This window comes from Homo sapiens, chromosome 4, assembly GCF_000001405.40.
Source record: "Homo sapiens chromosome 4, GRCh38.p14 Primary Assembly".
Lineage (NCBI taxonomy): Eukaryota > Metazoa > Chordata > Mammalia > Primates > Hominidae > Homo > Homo sapiens.
The window spans coordinates 163,530,393-163,546,112 of NC_000004.12; the positions used below are offsets into that span (position 1 = coordinate 163,530,393).

General features: G+C 37.8%; 1 protein-coding gene across 7 annotated transcripts in view, besides 1 other annotated feature; it reads right to left on the reverse strand.

The window, feature by feature from the left end:
* Positions 1-15,720, reverse strand: part of MARCHF1 (membrane associated ring-CH-type finger 1) — an 859,722-nt gene that overhangs the window by 6,095 nt on the left and 837,907 nt on the right. For all 7 annotated transcript variants that reach the window (XM_017008336.2, XM_017008335.2, NM_001166373.2 and 4 more), the window contains one exon: positions 15,204-15,351. In XM_017008336.2, coding sequence (XP_016863825.1) covers positions 15,204-15,351 — 148 coding nt within the window. The remainder of the gene's footprint in view (positions 1-15,203; positions 15,352-15,720) is intronic.
* Positions 10,429-10,928: an enhancer, noted in NCBI's record as "H3K4me1 hESC enhancer chr4:164461973-164462472 (GRCh37/hg19 assembly coordinates)". NCBI's record gives its function as "activates a minimal SCP1, AML or CMV promoter by ChIP-STARR-seq in naive H9 embryonic stem cells {active_cell/tissue: H9 hESC(naive)}" and the evidence as "EXISTENCE:reporter gene assay evidence [ECO:0000049][PMID:30033119]".

Here is a 15,720-nt window from a genome sequence, read left to right on the forward strand (position 1 = left end):
CTTAGTAATCATGGTAATCTTCTTTATATTTTTCTTTAAATACCTGTTATATTTTTCACTTGCTTATCCAGTTTTTCTGAAGTCTGACTCCCTTGAACCTTTTCAAGTAAACTCTTTTTCTTTTCAAAATGCTTTGGCTCTGACTCTTCCTTTGAAATTTTTGGGGAAAAAATGTTCTCTGATCTTAAAAGGGATTGTAAGAAAACATGAAAAGCCTCTCACTGTTGTTGATGTTTCATTAATTTGTTGCTCTGTTTGGCACTGTCAATTTAAAATAAATTTCTATGCCTCTTTCAGCAATCAAATCTGAACTTAGTTTTTGAGTAGATTAAATATATGCAATCAAATTTATTAGAACCTTTACCGGTAGCAAAGGTAAATTTTTTCTAACTAACTCCTAATACGCAAGGACTTCTTTATGACTTGAATAATTCATAGTAGTCATCATCTTGAATATTTACTTAATCCTAATGGAAATAATACTTCAAAATATCATTGGCCAAAGCTCACACAGGAGAAATAAGAGATCATTACAGTGGCAGGTGTAATTAATAGGCAGATAATTAAATATCCCTAGATCTATTAAAGAAATTAAATCAACCATAACCTTTCAGAGCAGAAAGCACCAAGCTCAAATAGTTTTACTAGTGGATTCTACCAAACATTTAAAGAAGAAATGACATCAATGTTCTACAGTCTTTTCCAGAAAATAGAAGAGATAATACTTCCTAACTAATCGGGTGAGACTAGCATTACCCAATACTAAATTCGGCAAAGACAATTACTATGAAGAAAAGTTATAGGCCAGTATCTCTCATGAGCAGATACAAAAATTCTCAACAAAATATTAGCAAATTGAATTCAACAATGTATAAAAACAGTTACACACTACAGCCAATAGAGATTTATTCTAGGTATGCAAAGTTGGTTCAAGTTTCAGAAATCAATGTAATCACATCAATTAGCTAAAGAAAAATGTGAATATATCAATAAGTGCAGAAAACACATTTGACAAAATACGACGCTCAATCATGATAAAAACTAGGAACGGAAGGGAATTTCCTTAATGCGATAAAGAACATAGAAAACCTATAGCTGACATAATGGTAAGAAACTAGATGCTTTCCCCCTAAGATCAGGAACAAGACAAGGATGTTCCTTCTTACCATGCCTATTCCGCATCACACTGGAAGTCTTAGCTAATGCAATAAAACAAGAATAATAAAAGATGATTGAGAAAGAATAAATAAAACTATCTTTGTTCACAAATGATATGATTATGTATAAAATCTCAAAGAACTGATTAAGTTTTTTTTTTAAATAGGTGATTATGACAATGTTGCAGGATACAAAGTTTTACAAAAAGTCAATTGCTTTCCTATATATAGCAGTGAACAACCAGAATTTGAAATTAAAAACATAAGCCCATTTACATTTGTGCCAACAAAACAAAAACAATGACAACAACAAAAACCTTAGGTGTAAACCTAACAAAATATGTACAAGATTTATGTGAGAAAAACTATGAAGCTATGATGAAGGAAATAAAAGAATATCTGAATGAAATAAGATGTTCCACATTTATGGATAGGGAGACTTAATATTATATTATTAAGATATCTATTCTTCCCAGTTTGATCTACAGATTCAATACTATCCCATTCAGAATTCCAGCAAGTTATTTTATGGATATTGACAAACTGATTCTAAAGTGTATATGGAGAGCAAAAGACCAGAATAGCCAACACAATATTGAAGTGGAAGAATAAAGTTTTTGAAAACTGACACTATCCTTGATTACTACCACTACGGTGATCAAGACAGTGTGGTATCAATGAAAGAATAAAGAAATAAATCATTGAAACAGAATAGCCCAGAAATAGACTGATACAAATATAGGAAACTGATCTTTAACAAAGGAGCAAAGGCAATTCAATGGAGAAGGGATAGTCTTTTTAACAAATGGGTGCTGGTATAACAATATCTGCATGCGAATAAATGAGTCTGTAAACAGACCTTAAATTTTTCACAAAAATTAACTCAAAATGGATTATAGAACTAAATGTAAACTGTGAAACTATACAGCTTCTAAAAGATAAGAAAATTCAGGTGACCAAAGTATGATCTATGAAAAGAAAAATGGATCAATTGGACTTTATTAAAACTAAAACCTTTTGCTCTGAGGAAGTCACTGTTAAGAGAATGAAAAGCCACAGGAAAAAATATTTGCAAAACATATTCTGAAAAAGGGATTTGTATCCAAAATATACAAAGATCTGTTAACATTCAATGATAAGAAAATAACCTAATTACAAAATGAGCAAAAGATTTGAACAGATATGTCATCAATGAAGATAAACAGATGGTAAGATTATTAATATATGTGATTAGAGAATTGCACATTAAAACAAGATATCATTATATACCTATTAGAATGGCTAAAGTTTTAAAAAAGAACACTGAAAACACTGAACGTTGGAAAGGATGTGGAACGACAAGCAGGAATTCTCATTCATTGCTGATAGGTATGCAAAATGGTACAGTCACTTTGGAAGACAGTCTGGCAGTTTTTTACAATGGTAACCACAGCTTTTCAAATGATACAACATTATACTTATTCAAATGAACAAAAACTTACGTCCACACAAAAACCTGCACACAAATGTTTGTAGCAGCTTTATTCATATATTTGTTCAAAGCTGGAAATACCAAGTGGTTTTTCAATCTGTGAATGAATAAACTGTGATACATCCATGTAATGGAGTATTATTTAGTGATTAAAAAGAAATGAGCTATCAAGCTACAAAAGGACACGAAGAAACCTTAAATGTATATTGCTAAATAAAAGAGGTCAGTCTGAAAAAGCTACATACTGCGTGATTCCAACTATGTGACATTCTAGAAAAGGCAAAACTGGAGATAGTAGGATCAGTGTTTGCCAACAGTTTAGGAGGAGAAAGGAAGGGATGAATAGGTGGAACACAGGGACTTTTTAAGGCGGCAACACCATTCTGTATGATTCTGTAACGGTGGACACAGGACGTTACACGTTTGTCAAAACTCATAGAACTGTACAACACAAAGAGTGAGCCCCAATGTAACTATGAACTTTAATAATGTAAGAATATTGGCTCCTCAGTGGTAACAAATGTACCACGTTGAGGCAAGATGTTAATAACAGGAGAAACCTTGTGTATGTGCAGGGTGGTATGTGGGAACTCTCTCTTTACCTTCTTTGTAATTTTTCTGTTAACCTAAATCTGCTCCAAAAATAGTCTTTTATATATAATATATATATATATATTTATATATATTAGCTCCTTACTTGAGAGATTAGTTCCATGAATTCATCACTGTGTCTAGGTCAGTTTATAGAATTTCTTCGAGTAAGAGATGGGTTTGTGAGCATTTAGGTATTTGGAAATTGGTAATGTATGCATGATATATTTATGGAAACTATTGCACAAAAACACTCCATTTCTTTTTAGCCATGCCCAATGGAGTTTATTGTGCCTAAAATTTGCTGCAGTCTTGCACAATAAATGCTCATGATCTATACCTCTATTTATTTTATCGTCATCCTCAGCTGCCTGATTTCTCTCATCCAGTGCCTTTCTTAGTAAACTTTATCCAAAGTCCTATCTGGGTAGCTGTTTTCCAAACATTGCACATCCTAATATAGGTTTAAGCTTTAGCACATGCTATTCCTCTGTTTAGAGTGCCGCGCTCTTTACAATAAACTTCTACTAATCTTTCAGAACCCACTCCAGGGAGAAAAAGGTGCAATCTGTCATGAGGTTGGCAAACACAGCATTCGTGCCCTAATTACTACCAACACTCTTTCCTGCTAATCCCTATGATAGCTTCATGGTTCCTAACACCACAATCTAGGTCAACTTCTGGAGTTGGCATGAGAAAAAATCTTTTTGCCATCTGGCCCAGAGGAAGAAGATGCCTTTTCACAATATTGCAAATTCCCTACATCGTAGTCCAGGAGAAACCCTATTAATGTTAACTAATTAAATGCTGTTGTTTGGAGTAAAATAGAGTAACTCTGAACTTCTTAATAAAACTAGGAGAAAGACTGACGGTTTCATGTCTCTCCCTACCCAAGTCGCTATTTAAAAAAATTAATTAGTGTATCATGGAGTTAAACTCTTTGAAGGAACAGATTCAATTATCAATATATTTACTTAAGAGAAGATGCTAAAAGATGTTAGAAAACAAATCGTCAAGAAAACAGACCTTTGATTTTAGAAACTTTAGAGTACGAAAATGGACTATACCAGGCATTTATCATTAATCAGTGTCTGTTAGTCGTATACAAATGTTTCCATGGTCCCTTTCTCCTATAGACTTCTTTGATCTTAAGGATAGGAATTTTAAAAATAGAAGTATGCTACTTGGATTTGATTTATTTATACAAATGCATTTGCAACGAACACGTGTTCGATAATAGCACTGTTGTTATCTAGTGGTAATAGTGGTACTGTATCATGTATTCCAATACTCTCCAGAAACATTTTCATTTTAGGATAAAAAATACAGAAATAATTACATACAATTATGAGATGAATTGCTTTATACTTATTTATAAATTTCCCAAGTAACTTATAGACAAATATAATACTTTAAAGTAGTAATAATAATTTTTGACCATTAGTGCAACTTTTAAAAAATGTTGTTCTACTTTGACAGCACTAGTTCCTCATCTAAAGATTTCACAGTATCGTTCATAACGAAACATACGTTCCACACTTTTAACATATTCTAGGTATTCCTGCATATATTATTCATTTTTGGAAAAAAAATTGAGGGGGGTATATAAAAGAATCATTTTTCTTATAAAAAAGTTTTTAAAGAAAATATCAGGCTGATACAATACAAATTGTTTTATTCTTGATTTTTCTGGTGTTCCAGCAAAATAACTGAACTAAAAATTCAGAGTTCAAAGGCCTTTAAAGACCATCTATTTCAATTCTCCCTTCTTCTCCCCCTTTTGCTATTTCATGCCAAAGGTGAGCTTATTACCCAATGATCTTGACCTAGTAATCTTTGATAGTGTTGAAATTTGATTTGTGTATTGCATGGAAATAGCAGTTAACTTGCTATTTTTATTTAAAAAATACTCCAAGGCAAAGTCTTCATAAGTGATTTAAAGAGTTCTGAAGAATAATCAGGAGTATGTGATGATTCTAATAGTCCCAGATAAGTGGCAGCACACATTTATACATGGCTGGACGCCTGTGTCCATTTTTCCTGTATGCTAAGTAACACAGTGGCATCAAACGGTAGTTAGTAATAAAAAGAGCTAAATTATTCTCTATGCAGAGAGTCCATGCATTTGGAATATAGAAGGGCTTTTTTTTTTTTTTCTTAAGTTCCTACTTGGCTGTCTTCATCTATGCAAGGAGAACAATCATCTGAAACACTGACTCAGTGTAGACCATAGGTTCACCACTGGGGGCAGTTTTGTTCTCTGGGGGACATTTAGCAGTGTCTAGAGACATTGTTGATTGTTGTACCTGGAGTGGGGTGCTTCTGACTTTTATTAGAGGCCAGGCATGCTGCTGGACATCCTACAATGCACAGGACAGTACCTTCCAACAAAGAATTATTCAGTTCATAATGTCCATAGTGCTGAGGTTGAGAATCCCTGCTGTGGAAGACAATAACTTACGTCTCTTTATTGGGAAATTTGCAGAAAGGATTTGGAATATGAGCAAGACATCTTGCAGTTCTCCAAATTCAAAAGGATTTTTGCTGTAAACTTATATTAAGCAGTAGTTTCAATGTGTTTAGAAAGCTTTAACCACAGACAGACTGGAGATGAAATGTGCTTTATTTCCCATTTTTAGGGAAATTCTCATGGACTACATCCAGCTTTCTCCTCTGCTTAACCAAACTAGCAGCTGTTCCTTATACATGCCTGGAAGTTTTCCATTTCTGAGCCTTTGTCTCCGATCTTTTTTCTTTCTGTGTTTTGCTTCCCTGCTTCTATGTGTCTACTTGTCCCACAAAACCCATCTTAGAGGTCATTTCCAGCTGGAAATAAGTTTTCCCACTGTTACACTTCCATGTTATTTCTCCGTGTGCAGTATGAGCTCACTTTCTAACATAAGCATTTTTACTGTGTCATGCTATAATCTTGACGAGCACAGAATTTGTCTGGGCTGGACTTTGTTTTCCATAGTTCCTTGCTCAGTAGGTATTTCAAGGATAAATGAAAGCTTTTACAACCCCTCTTCACTGTCAGTAAAGCTATGCTTTAGATGGTAGACAATCTAAAGAAAAGTCCACTCAAGTTTCACCTCTCTTTCCAGAAACAGTGACCAAAGCCTATAATATACCTGGGAATCTGAGCCAGGGGGAAACAGTTGCCATTTTCTCTGCCCTTTTTGGGAGACTCAGCCTGATCCCTCCACTTTCCTTCACAAGGTATCTCTGAATCAGTTTCCCCTGCCCACACCATCCTTCAATATGTTCCTGGGAAGTCAAATCTCCCACAAAACCCCTCCATTAAGTTTAGAGTGCAGAGCACCCCAATCCCCACATACAAAAGCCATCTGAGTACAAACTTACTGTCCAAATGACCATCTTTAACAGACAGCCTGCTCTTTTGCTTGCCTTCATACAAACTTACTGTCCAAATGACCATCTTTAACAGACAGCCAGCTCTTTTTCTTGCCTTCAAATAAGTGGACACGATTTTTTTCTACAAAATAAATTACTGTTGAGTGGTTATAAGGATTGTATGTGGAAAACTCACTTTAAGGACATCTTGAGAGGAGATGCTAAAATGGGGCTAAATGGATTTTTCAAGAATGTTTTCATCAGGAAGATGTACTTGCCTCCTTTTATTGAGACACAGCCAATTGTCTTCTTACATTCTGTTAGACTAGTCAGTTTCTATGCTATTGTTAGCAAAGACAAAAGAATGTACACCACAAAAAAGGACAATGATAGAGAAAGGAAGGCACTAAATCTTTTCCCTGGGGATCCTATGTACAATTCAAGGTATCTTTGTCCTCAGTCATATATAAAGCTGTATCCTGCACTTCAAAATGCCGGGAGCACAAAGTTGTTTCTATTTGCCGATTTCGCAGAGGAATTTGGAAAATCTAACTTAGGCAATTCAAGCATCTGCTCATTTATCTGAGGCCCAAGAACCCATCTCTACTTCTGTCTTTGTGTCTGGAATACTTTTGCAGGAGTTTCTGTAGGTTTAATAATAAACTCTCTGCCCATCTTTACCTCTCAAGCATTAAGGGGAAACATTTCTTGGAAATTCTTGGACAGCAATTAAAAGAGCAGGCATTCTCTCTACCACCATTTTCTGAGGAAATAGAAAGCTACTGTAGTCTCTCATATTAACTTTAATTGATTCATTCACATTCCATGTTATGCTAATCCCACAAGGAAGAGTGATAAGTTCTCAGTCTCAATATTTTTGTTGATTTAATATGATTATTAAAGTAAATTCTTCCAGGACTCCTTTTTACAGTCACATATATGTGATCTGGTACTTGCAGGCTGCAGCATCCTCCAGGCCATTCCCAAACAATCAACATGCGAATAGGTTTTCCAGGAAAGGCTTAAGATAGTTTGTAGTCTTGCCCTTGAATGTGATATTGAAAAGTTCACAAATTAGACCTAAAGGAATCAAAATGCTGCAGCCTTAAAGTCTAGTGCCACCAGAACCAGAAATTTCAGTCCACAGTTTGTAGGGAAATTTACATTTAAAGAGCGAGTGAAAACACTTTAGACAAAGAAAAGCAGATGGACTTCACAGCTCATTCTAGACTCTTGGGAGTCTGACTCTGGACAAGATTATTTTTAGCAAGGCAGAGAAGGAAACTGGGATGTCCAGGTTAAAAGTAACAGTATTTAAAAAACTTGAATGAAAAGGCAAAAATAAAAAAGTAAAATTTATAAATTTTTTTTTTTCACACACACACACAAATCCCCCACATCTTCCTAATCCTGTACTCTATTGGAGTTGGGTCAGGAGACATGGACCCAACATGGGTTATCCAAGAGCTCAGGTTCCCCACCAGGAACCTGAGAATTAAGCATTAGTTATAAACAGGACCTCTGCAACGGACTGAATTTTTCATCTCTTTCCTGGCTAAGGAATAGCCAAATCCCCAAATGATTCAGACTTCTGGTTAATTTCTTTACAGCCCATGCCCTAAGAGGATTTCTCTTATTAAGGTTAATGGCTTCTCAAGAGTAGTTTTCCTGTGCAAAATCTCCACTTGTTTTCGAGGGGTACGGATTTTATTCCGAAGAACCCTATTCCTAAGAGTCTACTTCAGTCTTTACATCTTTATCCACCTAAACTCAGATAGCTATTTCATTTCCTTGAGATATTAAGCCTGTTCTGTTATTTTCTTTGGTTTCAATTTCTTTATCCTTGATAGCTTGTTTCAATAATAGCCCCTGATTGGCTCATGCCTCCCGGTAATCCTGTCCTGGGGTATCCCATCACCTATTGACACTGGTCTTGGTCATATGACCTGCTTTGGCCAATAGGACAATAGGAAACACAACTCATTCGGAAACTTTAAGTGTGTTTGCAGATGGTGGTTTCGCTCTCTCCTGATGCTTTTATTTATTTATTTATTTATTTATTTATTTATTTTGAGACAGAGTCTTGCTTCTGTCACCCAAGCTGGAGTGCAGTGGTGCGATCTCAGCTCACTGCAACCTTTGACTCCTGGGTTTAAGAGATTTCCTGGCCTCAGCCTCCTGAGTAGCTGGGACTACAGGCATGCACCACCATGCCCAGCTAAGTTTTGTATTTTTAGTAGAGACAGAGTTTCACCATGTTGGCCAGGCTTGTCTTGAACTCCTGACCTTAAGTGATCTGCCCACCTTGGCCTCTCAAAGTGCTGGGATTACAGGCTTAAACCAACACACCCAGCCTGGGATGGTTTTTATAAAGCTAAAGCCAACTGATACATTACTTAAAATTGGAGGTAATAGTATCTACCAATTTCATATGGTTGTTAGTGTGAGTTAAACAAATTAACGGTGCGTGACACATAGGAAGTGTAAATATAAGTTTTCATTATTGTTATTATCTGTGTGATTTGAACGCTACACACCTTTGGCTGATTCAGCTGTAGGTTAAGAGCGGGGCTTTCACAGGTGTCTACCAGTAAGATCTTTCTAACTTCACTGTGTTATAAGTTTAGGGTGTCCCAGCTTGACTCAAGGTAAGCTTCTCTCCAGAATCACAGAGGGAGGAAGTCTAGTTAGTTGTCAGCCAGGCCACTGGCGTTTAGTCATAGTGTGTTTCTGGTCATCTCTTGCAGTTACAATTCCCTTCGTCAGGAGAAATGCTCAGAAATCCCATCAAAAAATAAACTAAAACACCCTTAAATGCTTAAGTAGCAATTATGTATATTGTATTTGTTAGGAAATATTTCTGCCAACCTTTCAGACCACAGTGACAATGGCTTATCAGCTGGAGTTCATCTACCAGATCCTTTTAGACTCATTTACTTTCCAGAAATACTGTTTCTCTGAAAATATATTTCCTTTGGTAATAGAATGGGGTCCTGGTTCCTCTCCCCTGAAGGCACAGGGGCATACCTGTAACATCTCACTTTTGTATTTTCTCTTTAAGTCAAATTGGGTAAAGCAGAAGCTCCCAGGTGGGCATTTATAATACAGCTGGAGATCAGGCAAATTGCTTATTTCCTCATCTATAAATAATGATCTCTAAGGTCTCTTGCAGCTTTGAAATTTGATTTCTCAGAGTATTCTGCAAATGTTATATAGGAGATCATGCAACTGGAGACACCTAGAGCATGTCTAAAAGCTTTTTTAAATCAACCAAGCAGCAGAAGAGAACCTGTTTCACTTAACAGTGACAGTGGCTGTGTGTATTTACAGAAAGCATCTCACTCTAAGTTGGAATATTTTGGCTGGGTGCTTAGGGTATGCAGAACTACGAAGTGTGTGTATAAGGAAGGGTGTGTGTGGGTGGCTATTGGGGCCTTGGGGTTGCAGAGGGGAGCGGGTTTTCTTCTTTACTTTTGTCCTGGTTGCTTCTCTCCAGTTGGGTAGATTATTAACAACAACAAAATTGTTTCACATATTTATAACCTTTTTCTTAACTTGTTTTAATGGTAATATTCACCATGAGTAATTATGTGTCATATATGTACATTATTTATATAGCCATGTTTCAATCTATTTGATGCAAGGTAAAGTTCATGTTGTCTGAATAATAAATCATAGAAATAACTTTTAGCAGCTACTCACTCCAACCTTGGTAGTTTTACAAATGAAAAAACTGAGCTTCAGAGTGATTAATCATTGTATTGAAGATAACTAGGCTGGGTGCGGTGGCTCACGCCTGGAATCCCAGCGCTTTGGGAGGCTGAGGCGAGCAGATCGCTTGAGCCCAGGTGTTCAGGACCAGCCTGGGCAACATGATGAAACCTTGTCCCTACAAAAAATTAGCTGGGCACGGTGATTCCCACCTGTAGTCCCAGCAACTTGGGAGGCTAAGGCAGGAGAATCACTTGAGCCCAGGGAGGGGGACTGAGGGGAGGATGTTGCAGTGAGCCAAGATCGCACCACTGCACTCCAGCCTGGGCGAGAGGAGTGAAATCGTCTCAAAGGAAAAAAAAAATAACTAGTCAGTGACCAAGGGAGAGCTAGAACCCTGGCCTTCTGACAACTAGCTCAAGCCAGTGTTTATTCTTTTTGGGTTGTTCTCATCTGCTGGAGTCAGCCACAGCCAGCAAACATTTTTTGAGCCTCTACTAACACCAAGTATTTTCTGAATAATGAGGCAAGGCCTCTGCCCTGGAGGAGCTTGGAGGCTTGGGAGTGAGTCAGCCATGAAAACAAAGTCAATTTGTTATGCTAGTCCCTTATGTATACATTGAAATACTTCTGGGGCAACTTTACTATCTACACCTACAGTCTCTTTAATATTGTAAATTGTTGTAGTTGTTTTTGGTTTGTATTTTTGTTGTTTATACACAGATAATATACTGAAGCATTCTTCTAGACTATGTAAAGATAAGGCAAGAATAACAACTGTTGCCCAAATTAAACTTAGCGATAGGCTTATTTAGGGTGTTAAAGCTCCAAGTACCATATATTTGCTATTTTTTTTCCTGTCATCGCAGGGGAAAGAGAGATGAGGGCTCTCTGTGGCATCATGACTATTTAATCTAAAAGAACAACCATTTACAGACATATGAGGAATTTTTTTTCTCTCCAGGATCATCATTACAGTTCAAAAGATTTTGCTGTTTTATATTCAACCTCAATTCTGGCTGAAAAAGGACAAATTTGTTTCTTTTAAAATATTTTAAAGGTTTTTCAAGATGGATTTAAAATATGTTGACTTCTTTTAAGTTAGGCAATTTTTTCCCAACAACTTTACAAGTAAATTCAGGATCAGCACTCACAGTCCCAATGCCACAGGAAGATTAAAGAAATAACAGTTTATACAGATGCCCACACTCCTCTTCAATGTGCACATTGGAAAGCAGGTTTAAATATAATTTGAACATAAATACAAATGATTCCCTGTATGAAAGTCACTATGGTTTCCATTTGAAATTACCCAAGTTCTAGAGCTGTCCCGCTGGCAAGCGGCTCTACAGGAATTACCACGGACACTGCTTCTTGATACATATCTTGCTTTCTGTTTTGCTTTGGCTCTAAATGCCAAATATAAAAATCATGTCATTTTCAGTTTCCTTTAAGAAACGGACCCTTGATTGTCATGAAGAGTCCACTGGAGGTTACTGTCTGGAATCCTGCACCCACCCACAGCTGAGAAAGAAAAAAATATTTTGAAAACAATTCTAAAAGAAAAATAAGAGGTGGAAAAGCTTAGGTACCAGGCATTCACACTTCATCATTCCTTGTACAGTGTTGACCGGACTACTTGCCTGGTCCCAGACCAGTGTTCAGCACCGGGGAGATGTAGTGGTGAGCAGGACAGAGAAAGCCCCCAACTGCTCTGAGCAGGTGAAGGAAGACAGACAATTAAATGAGCAATTGCAATGGCATGTGGTGAGTTTCACAGTCAGGCACAGCTTCCCTAGCTGCATGATAGAATCATCTAAGGGTGACTAAGTATAAACCTCTGGGGATAAAGCCCAGCTTTGCAGCATTAGGAACATACCACAGGTAATCTACCATGCAGTAAATGTGGAGAAGCCCTGGGGAGGGTAAATGCAGGATGCTATGGGACTACGTGGTAGGGCAGTGACTCTCCATCCTTAGCCAGCATCAGAATCACCTGTAGGCTTCTTCAGTACAAACTGCTGGCCTCCACCATCAGGGTTTCATAGGTCTAGGGAAGCAGGAGGTTAAAAATATGCATTTCTAGTGAACGCCCAGGTGATACTGATGTTGTTGGTCCCAGGACCATACTTTGAGAATCACTGTGCTAGGAATAACGATCCTACTTCAGGGAGCTGTAATGAGTTTCCCAGAGGAAGTGATGTTTAAGGTAAACTGCAAAGGCTGAGTTGGGATGAGGGAGGTGTGTGAGAATATATGAGTGTTTGAGTGTGTGTGGTGGTGGTGGACAAGAGAAGCTGGAAGGAAATGTTTTACAGAGAGAGGAAAGCTGAGCAAGGGCCTGGATATAGATTTGAGGAGCTGAATGAATGTTCGGCCTAGCTGGCTTCAACTAGGTCACGGGGGCAGCATAGTCCCACTGAGGAATTTCGGTTACCTTTTAATGGTTAAGTGGGAATAGGATGTGATTAGATTTGTGTTTTTGTAAATCTGCTGGGATTACATTACTGAGCATGGGTTGGGTTGAAGTTGGCAAAACTGGAGAAAGTCTAGTCAAGAAGCTTCTGCAGTTTTCAAGTTAAAAATATGATAGTTTCCACATGGATGGTAGCCATAGGGAAGGAAAGAAATGGACAGATTCCAGAGGCATTCGAGACAGAGTGAATAGGATTTGGTGATTGATTTAAGGTAGAAGAGGAAGGAGATCAGAGTGAAAGCTGTGTATCTGGGTTTGGCTACTAGATGTTAGTGGTGCCGTTCCCACAGGTGTTAGAGTGAGAAGTGGTAGGGGATTATGCATTGCGACACGCTGAGACTTTCAAACAATCATTCAGAAGATAGGTGGATGTATGGGTTGGAGTACAGTAGGAGTGGGAAATGAATTTGGGAAGTTATCAGCGGGGGCCTACAGAATGAGCAAGGAGACAGAAAAATGGAAGAAAGCATGGAGCCATGAGTTTCTTGGTTTTTGGAGATATTTTTGTGGCTGAAGTTGAGACCATCGTGTTCATTGTAGGGTAAATGATTGCTATTCAGTCACATGTCTTAGAAATGTGGTTGGATAAAATAAATGTAAGAGAGGGGTTTTCTTATGGGTGTCTATGAGGGTCTATGTATACATGACGTGAGATTGCTTCCTCTTCTTACATCTACGAGAAGGGCTCTTAATTTTCTTTCCTTCTCATGTAGCTGGAGGAGAAGAGCTCTGCAGTTTACTACAAAGAGGCCAAGTGAGGGTGACCACTGGGAGAGGGGAGAGACTACATTACCTGGAGGAAATTTGTGGTTCTCAAATGCTGAGCTCTAAATGTGTCATCTAATCTAAGGGTATCATGTCTGCCCTTGATTGCTAGGAAAACACTAGAGTTCTAGGGTAAGACATTGGGTGAAGCGAGGTGGGGATGCCTTTTTGTTTTTCCATCCATATGCGACTGCAGGATGTACAGCACACTGTTTGTTACTTGGGCCAGTACCTATATCAAGAGAGGACATTGGATTTAAAAAAGAAAAAGAAAGTTCTACCCTCAGGGAACTTATTTAATAAGGATGTAATGTGACATTTTAAAATCAAGACTCTCTGAAACAGTACATAATGTAGTTGCAAACAATGTAGTTTGATATTAATGGTATGTAAATGAGTTAATATGGAATAAATAAACACATAAAAACAACCCACAAAACCCCATCCTAACTGTTTTTCTAGCATTTAGACTCGACACGGTAGTGCTTTCATTTTCTTCCAGAAAAGGACAGTGGCACCTGGAACGCTGTCACCATCCCCTCTTTGACGCACAGAAACCCCATCCACAATTCCTATCGTGGGTCCTGGCCTTCCCTTTATCCCCGCAGCCCCTTTCGGCTTTTTGAAATGCTCAGGGCGGTGCACGCTGGCGTGTGCTGCTGCCACCTAGAGGGCGAGTGTGAGAATGGAGCCTCCCCTTCTGTGTTTATGAATCCCCACGCAGAAATGCAGAAGTAACCAACCTTTCTGTGTTTTAATCTCCTCCTTATTTATATTTTTCTTACCTCCTCTCTTTTTTTGTTCTTTCATTTTCTTCCATTTTTTCTCTGGGTGTAGGGATGTGCAAACATTTTTCACAACATTACAAACTCAAAATGTTACTATCTGAACAATGTCTTTTCTAGAGGCATCAGTGGTTAAATACTGTTTCCTGCGGGAGTGTGGGGATGTTTCTCACTGTTTTACCACCAACGATTTAGGCTGGATAAGGTATGAAAACTTATAGGGCCCAATGAGAAACAGAACTGGGTCCTTTCACACATGAAAATAATATTTTATAGACATTGTGCTTTCTCTTTTTGTTTCTGTTTTAAGTGACTTACCCATTTTAATGTGAGAATATGCCTTACTGATTTAGAAACATTTTTCTTTGCAGACTTGACACCATCCTTCACAATCAAACTTCGCATGGCTAAAATGTCAAACCATGGTGCTAACCCACTCTATCAAACTATATAGTACTAACTAAAGAGCTATAACACATTCTCTACTGGAATGCCATCTCCTTCATGCTTTAAAGGAGAGATGACTAGAGTGAATTAAATAAAATGAGAAACCTTCATTTTTACAGCCATTTGCCTTTTCACATCAGGCAGAACTTGATCCTTATTCAGTTCCCAAAAAGCCCGAAGTGGTGTGTGCCATTTGTGTGTAACTGCCACTAAGTTTTATATGGATTTGATGAATTTCACATCTCAGCTTGGGACTCCATATAGTTAATGCTTTTTAATCAGAGTATTTTAATCAATAACATGATTAGGGAAGAATCAATAGCAAATACTAGCTTTTCTAGTGTATCATACATGATGAAGGCCTAACCTGGGGAAATAACTTCCCTATCCACCTCTGAGTATTGTCTTTAGGATCCAAGAGGGTAAGAAGAAAGATGTGCTCTTACCATTGTCATTGCCTTGCTTGATTTCCTCCGCTGTCCGGTCTATCAATACATACAAAGACCAAACCACACAGGTGATCGCGATTACGTGGAATGTGACAGAGCAGAATATTTTCCTCCTTTCACTTGTGGTCATCTGTAGTTTCTCCCACTGCAATCAGAAATGAAGGACACAAAACTGAATTGCAAACTAGGAAATTTTGCTCCTCTTTTATTTCCCAGACACAGATCATGAATGGAAGAAAAACAGTAAATATCTGCAATTTCAGATGACACTGTAATATTCAAATAAGTCTTCATGTTTAGAGAGATATGAAATTATAACCTAGAGAGTTACATATAACTTAAATACATATGTGTGTGTGTGTGTGTGTGTGTGTGTGTGTGTGTGTATTTTTTTGAGACAGGGTCTCACTCTGTCGCCCAGGCTGGAGTGCAGTGGCACAATCTCAGGTCACTGCAACCGCTGCCTCCCAGGCTCAAGAGAACCTCTGCCTCAGCCCCCAGAGTAGCTGGGACT